The following is an 8,007-nucleotide window of genomic DNA, read 5'->3' as shown; positions in this document are numbered from 1 at the left end:
ATTTACTATCTTACAAGTCAGTCTATTCCTTTTTTTAACAGCTGTAATTGTTAGAAGATACTTCTCTACATTGAGACAAAAATCCAACTTTATATAACTTCCACTCATTTTTCCTAAATCCACTGTCTGTTCTTTCAAAGAGTAGAATACCTGTAATCAAAATTCTTTAAAATCATGATGACCTTTTAATTAAACCTAATTATGTGATGCATCAAACAAAAATAAAAAAGGATAATTTCTCAGATCTTGCAGATTCAACCTACAATGATCAAAACTAACTTGCAACATAATTTTTCTCATTGATAAGTATTGGCAATTAAGTTTAATGCAACATGTGGACTTGAACATAGTTTCTCAATTGGATTTGGACTTCCTGACACTTTTATCTGTCTCTTGAGTGTAGCCTGCCTCTATTTACCAGGATTAAAAAATGAAATGATAAATGGCTCCCTAAAAGGACTACTAGGTAAAACTAATAGTTGTGAAATTTTACTATTAAATGTCGATCTTGCTCTTATCCTGCAGTTGGTTCTAATACCTGTGAAAGTCTTAGAGCTTTCATGGGTAGGTTCCTGGCAATTAATAGTTTCTGGCACTAGAATTATTTTTTGAATCAAATCAAAGCTATTTTATAGCAAGATGATTTCAAAGACACCCTAGAGAAAGGATTTAGAGCAATTCAGACCCCCTGGAGTAAACACAGCTCAAGTAATGGTTTTTTTATATTGACTGGTTGGTTGCCAATTTGAGAATATTACAAAAAAACACTGAAGGAATATATCTGTACTAGGAAAAACAAATTAAAAGCCATTCTGCTGCAGATATATATATATATATGAAATATATTAATAATAAACTACGCTGCAGCTTAAGAATGAAACTGAGTTGATTATGCAGCAAAGTAGGTGGATGTTTAAAGTCTCAAGTACTTGAACTGTCAGTAAAAATTACATGTTATGTATCCTCGGACCATCAAAAAATGTTATTCTTTAAGTAACTGTAGCTTCTGTGCATGCATTACATTCATTTAAGCCTCTCCATCTCAGTAAGTAGCTTCCTCCTATTGCTCACTTAAAAGTGCTCCTATGAGCACCTATCTGTTTTTCCTGCATATTGATGAAGGTAATCAGGATAGAGCTTGCAGGCTTTTCCTGAAAAGTAATTACACAAATATAATAAATATGGTTTGTCTCTTGACCCAAATATATTTAGAAGTGTAAGAAATGCTCAAGCTGGCCCAGCACAGTGGCTCACACCTGTAATCCTAGCACTTTGGGAGGCCAAAGCAGATGGATTTTTTAAGCTCAGGAGATTAAGTAGCCTGGGCAACACGGTGAAACTCCGGCTGTACCAAAAATACAACAAATTAGCCGGGCATGGTGCCACTTTCCTATGGTCCCAGCTACTTGGGAGGCTGAGGTGGGAAAGTCACTTGAGCCTGGGAGGTGGAGGTTGTGGTGAGCCAAGATCCTGCCACTGCACTGTAGCCTGGGTGACAGAGCGAGACCCTGTCTAAAAACAAACAAAAATAAAATAAAATAAATGCTCAAGCCATAACAACCTTAAATGAAACCATACATCTATATTCAAAATATATCTCCTAGATACAACTTTAATGTAACAACTGACATTTGTAAAGAACATGGTGCATATGATATTGCTTTATAATTATAACCAGTTAGAATTTTCAATCTGATTATTTTCAAAATCAAAACATTAAAATTCTAGTTTCATTAATCATTTACGTATCTCTGCTTTTGGTAGAACCATTTATTAGGTAATTATTTTATGCCAGATTATAAGAGGGAAAAACCTTAAAATGCTCCATTGAAGAACATTGCAAAAGAAACAAAATTAGCTGAAAATTAGGGCACGTTTTATTGGGCTACTGAGTGGGCCTGCAACAACGCCAGCACTATACCCTCTCATATTGTATTTGTCCTAGGAAAGGAAGTGCAGAGTTTATGTAGTTTGGAAGAAATAGAAGTTCTGCTCTAGAACATTATTTGAGTTATCTTCAGTTCCATCGTGCCAGGGTAAATGAATGAACTATTTCATAACAAGCCCTGCAGACAAATAATATTACAAGCTTATGGCTTAATAAGTAATTGCTGCATAGGTGACCCTAGAGAGTCCTTGCCTCCAAGTCAGCAGGCAGAAAGCAGGGGCAGAACAGATGTTGCAATCTTCTCAAGTTAAGGGATACCTCAGGATACCTCACAATGTTTCCCCAACAGTGTGGTGTTTGAAGTTCTCTGTGGTCTGACCCCACCCTAAATCATCTGTCCTGTTAGACATGCTATGTGGCCTATGGTCTATTCTCATAGACTGTCACCCCACACATACCCTGCCCTCTACCAACTTAATACTAAGCAGAATTAAAGTAGTATGAGTTGAACTATATAAAATAGATATATAGGGGAAAAACAGTGAAAGGAAACATACTAAATGTTTCAGTGGTCACCTCTCAGAGACACTATGTTTCCTTTTTGTCACATATTACTAAATGGACATCTTCTTTGTTTCTTTTGTGAGCCAAAACATTATTTTTTTAATATTATTATTATACTTTAAGTTTTAGGGTCCATGTGCACAATGTGCAGGTTAGTTACATATGTATACATGTGCCATGCTGGTGTGCTGCACCCATTAACTCGTCATTTAGCATTAGGTATATTTCCTAATGCTATCCCTCCCCGCTCCCCCCACCCCACAACAGGCCCCAGAGTGTGATATTCCCCTTCCTGTGTCCATGTGTTCTCATTGTTCAATTCCCACCTATGAGTGAGAACGTGCAGTGTTTGGTTTTCTGTCCTTGCAATAGTTTACTGAGAATGATGATGTCCAATTTCATCCATGTCCCTACAAAGGACATGAACTCAAAATTTTTTATGGCTGTATAGTATTCCATGGTGCATATGTGCCACATTTTCTTAATCCAGTCTATCATTGTTGGACATTTGGGTTGGTTCCAAGTCTTTGCAATTGTGAATAATGCCACAATAAACATACGTGTGCATGTGTCTTTATAGCAGCATGATTTATAGTCCTTTGGGTATATACCCAGTAATGGGATGGCTGGGTCAAATGGTATTTCTAGTTCTAGATCCCTGAGGAATCGCCACACTGACTTCCACAATGGTTGAACTACTTTACAGTCCCACCAACAGTGTAAAAGTGTTCCTATTTCTCCACATCCTCTCCAGCACCTGTTGTTTCCTGACTTTTTAATGATTGCCATCCTAACTGGTGTGAGATGATATCTCATTGTGGTTTTGATTTGCATTTCTCTGATGGCCAGTGATGGTGAGCATTTTTTCATGTGTTTTTTGGCTGCATAAATGTCTTCTTTTGAGAACTGTCTGCTCGTGTCCTTTGCCCACTTTTTGATGGGGTTGTTTGTTTTTTTCTTGTCAATTTGTTTGAGTTCATTGTAGATTCTGGATATTAGCCCTTTGTCAGATGAGTAGGTTGCAAAAATCTTCTCCCATTCTGTAGGTTGCCTGTTCACTCTGATGGTAGTTTCTTTTGCTGTGCAGAAGCTCTTTGGTTTAATTAGATCCCATTTGTCACTTTTGGCTTTTGTTGCCATTGCTTTTGGTGTTTCAGACATGAAGTCCTTGCCCATGCCTATGTCCTCAATGGTAATGCCTAGGTTTTCTTCTAGGGTTTTTATGGTTTTAGGTCTAACATGTAAGTCTTTAATCCATCTTGAATTAATTTTTGTATAAGGTGTAAGGAAGGGATCCAGTTTCAGCTTTCTACATATGGCTAGCCAGTTTTCCCAGCACCATTTATCAAATAGGGAATCCTTTCCCCATTGCTTATTTTTCTCAGGTTTGTCAAAGATGAGATAGTTGTAGATATGTGGCATTATTCCTGAGGGCTCTGTTCTGTTCCATTGATCTATAGCTCTGTTTTGGTACCAGTGCCATGCTGTTTTGGTTACTGTAGCCTTGTAGTATAGTTTGAAGTCAGGTAGTGTGATGCCTCCAGCTTCGCTCTTTTGGCTCAGGATTGACTTGGCAATGCGGGCTCTTTTTTGGTTCCATATGAACTTTAAAGTAGTTTTTTCCAATTCTGTGAAGAAAGTCATTGGTAGCTTGATGGGGATGGCATTGAATCTATAAATTACCTCAGGCAGTGTGGCCATTTTCACAATATTGATTCTTCCTACCCATGAGCATGGAATGTTCTTCCATTTGTTTGTATCCTCTTTTATTTCATTGAGCAGTGGTTTGTAGTTCTCCTTGAAGAGGTCCTTCACATCCCCTGTAAGTTGGATTCCTAGGCATTTTATTCTCTTTGAAGCAATTGTGAATGGGAGTTCACTCATGATTTGGCTCTCTGTTTGTCTGTTATTGGTGTATAAGAATGCTTGTGATTTTTGTACATTGATTTTGTATCCTGAGACTTTGCTTAAGTTGCTTATCAGCTTAAGGAGATTTTGGGCTGAGATGATGGGGTTTTCTAGATATACAATCATGTCATCTGCAAACAGGGACAATTTGACTTCCTCTTTTCCTAATTGAATACCCTTTATTTCCTTCTCCTGCCTAATTGCCCTGGCCAGAACTTCCAGCACTATGTTGAATAGGAGTGGTGAGAGAGGGCATCCCTGTCTTGTGCCAGTTTTCAAAGGGAATGCTTCCACTTTTTGCCCATTCCGTATGATATTGGCTGTGGGTTTGTCATAGATAGCTCTTATTATTTTGAGATACGTCCCATCAATACCTAATTTATTGAGAGTTTTTAGCATGAAGGGTTGTTGAATTTTGTCAAAGGCCTTTTCTGCATCTATTGAGATAATCATGTGGTTTTTATCTTTGGTTCTGTTTATATGCTGGATTACATTTATTGATTTGCATATATTGAACCAGCCTTGCATCCCAGGGATGAAGACCACTTGATCATCGTAGATAAGCTTTTTGACGTGCTGCTGGATTCGGTTTGCCAGTATTTTATTGAGGATTTTTGCATCATTGTTCTTCAAGGATATTGGTCTAAAATTCTCTTTTTTGGTTGTGTCTCTGCCAGGCTTTGGTATCAGGATGATGCTGGCCTCATAAAATGAGTTAGGGAGGATTCCCTCTTTTTCTGTTGATTGGAATAGTTTCAGAAGGAATGGTACCAATTTCTCCTTGTACCTCTGGTAGAATTCGGCTGTGAATCCATCTGGTCCTGGACTCTTTTTGGTTGGTAAGCTATTGATTATTGCTGCAATTTCAGATCCTGTTATTGGTCTATTCAGAGATTCAACTTCTTCCTGGTTTAGTCTTGGGAGGGTGTATGTGTCGAGGAGTTTATCCATTTCTTCTAGGTTTTCTAGTTTATTTGCCTAGAGGAGTTTGTAGTATTCTCTGATGCTAGCTTTGTATTTCTGTGGGATCGGTGGTGATATCCCCTTTATCAATTTTTATTGCGTCTATTTGATTCTTCTCTCTTTTCTTCTTTATTAGTCTTGCTAGCAGTTTATCAATTTTGTTGATCCTTTCAAAAAACCAGCTCCTGGATTCATTAATTTTTGAAGGGTTTTTTGTGTCTCTATTTCCTCCAGTTCTGCTCTGATCTTAGTTATTTCTTGCCTTCTGCTAGCTTTTGAATGTGTTTGCTCTTGCTCTTCTACCTCTTTTAATTGTGATGTTAGGATGTCACCTTTGATCTTTCCTGCTTTCTCTTGTGGGCATTTAGTGCTATAAATTTCCCTCTACACACTGCTTTGAATGTGTCCCAGAGATTCCGGTATGTTGTGTCTTTGTTCTCCTTGGTTTCAAAGAACATCTTTATTTCTGCCTTCATTTCGTTATGTACCCAGTAGTCATTCAGGAGCAGGTTGTTCAGTTTCCATGTAGTTGAGCGGTTTTGAGTGAGTTTCTTAATCCTGAGTTCTAGTTTGATTGCACTGTGGTCTGAGAGACAGTTTGTTATAATTTCTGTTCTTTTACATTTGCTGGGGAGTGCTTTAGTTCCAACTATGTAGTCAATTTTGGAATAGATGTGGTGCGGTGCTGCAAAAAAATATATATTCTGTTGATTTGGGGTGGAGAGTTCTGTAGATGTCTATTAGGTCCACTTGGTGCAGAGCTGAGTTCAATTCCTGGGTATCCTTGTTGACTTTCTGTCTCGTTGATCTGTCTAATGCTGACAGTGGGGTGTTAAAGTCTCCCGTTATTATTGTGTGGGAGTCTAAGTCTCTTTGTAGGTCACTCAGGACTTGCTTTATGAAACTGGGTGCTCCTGTATTGGGTGCATATATATTTAGGATAGTTAGCTCTTCTTGTTGAATTGATCCCTTTACCATTATGTAATGGCCTTGTCTCTTTTGATCTTTGTTGGTTTAAAGTCTGTTTTATCCGAGACTAGGATTGCAACCCCTGCCTTTTTTTGTTTTCCATTTGCTTGGTAGCTCTTCCTCCATCCTTTTATTTTGAGCCTATGCACGTGAGATGGGTTTCCTGAATACAGCACAGTGATGGGTCTTGACTCTTTATCCAATTAGCCAGTCTGTGTCTTTTAATTGGAGCATTTAGTCCATTTACATTTAAAGTTAATATTGTTATGTGTGAATTTGATCCTGTCATTTTGATGTTAGCTGGTTATTTTGCTCGTTAGTTGATGCAGTTTCTTCCTAGCCTCGATGGTCTTTACAATTTGGCATGATTTTGCAGTGGCTGGTACCTGTTTTTCCTTTCCATGTTTAGTGCTTCCTTCAGGAGCTCTTTTAGGGCAGGCCTGGTGGTGACAAAATCTCTCAGCATTTGCTTGTCTGTAAAGGATTTTATTTCTCCTTCACTTATGAGGCTTAGTTTGGCTGGATATGAAATTCTGGGTTGAAAATTCTTTTCTTTAAGAACGTTGAGTATTGGCCCCCACTCTCTTCTGGCTCGTACAATTTCTGCCGAGAGATCCGCTGTTAGTCTGATGGGCTTCCCTTTGTGGGTAACCTGACCTTTCCCTCTGGCTGCCCTTAACATTTTTTCCTTCATTTCAACTTTGGTGAATCTGACAATTATGTGTCTTGGAGTTGCTGTTCTCGAGGAGTATCTTTGTGGCATTCTCTGTATTTCCTGAATCTGAATGTTGGCCTGCCTTGCTAAATTGGGGAAGTTCTCCTGCATAATATCCTGCAGAGTGTTTTCCAACTTGGTTCCATTCTCCCCATCACTTTCAGGTACACCAATCAGACGTAGATTTGGTCTTTTCACATAGTCCCATATTTCTTGGAGGCTTTGTTCATTTCTTTTTATTCTTTTTTCTCTAAACTTCCCTTCTCACTTCATTTCATTCATTTCATCTTCCATCGCTGATACCCTTTCTTCCAGTTGATCACATCGGCTCCTGAGGTTTCTGCATTCTTCACGTAGTTCTCGAGCCTTGGCTTTCAGCTCTATCAGCTCCTTTAAGCACTTCTCTGTATTGGTTATTCTAGTTATACATTTGTGTAAATTTTTTTCAAAGTTTTCATCTTCTTTGCCTTTGGTTTGAATTTCCTCCTGTAGCTCGGAGTAGTTTGATCGTCTGAAGCCTTCTTCTCTCAACTCGTCAAAGTCATTCTCCGTCCAGCTTTGTTCCGTTGCTGGTGAGGAACTGCGTTCCTTTGGAGGAGGAGAGGCGCTCTGCTTTTTAGAGTTTCCAGTTTTTCTGCTCTGTTTCTTCCCCATCTTTGTGGTTTTATCTACTTTTGGTCTTTGATGATGGTGACGTACAGATGGGTTTTTGGTGTGGATGTCCTTTCTGTTTGTTACTTTTCCTTCTAACAGACAGGACCCTCAGCTGCAGGTCTGTTGGAGTTTGCTAGAGGTCCACTCCAGACCCTGTTCCTGGGTAACAGCAGCAGTGGCTGCAGAACAGCAGATTTTCGTGAACCGCGAATGCTGCTTTCTGATCGTTCCTCTGTAAGTTTTGTCTCAGAGGAGTACCGGGGCGTGTGAGGTGTCAGTCTGCCCCTACTGGGGGGTGCCTCCCAGTTAGGCTGCTCAGGGATCAGGGGTCAGGGACCCACTTGAG

Source organism: Homo sapiens, chromosome 12 (genome assembly GCF_000001405.40).
Source record: "Homo sapiens chromosome 12, GRCh38.p14 Primary Assembly".
Classification (NCBI taxonomy): Eukaryota; Metazoa; Chordata; class Mammalia; order Primates; family Hominidae; genus Homo; species Homo sapiens.
The sequence above is the reverse complement of the archived record's forward strand: the minus strand, read 5'-3'. Positions refer to the sequence as shown.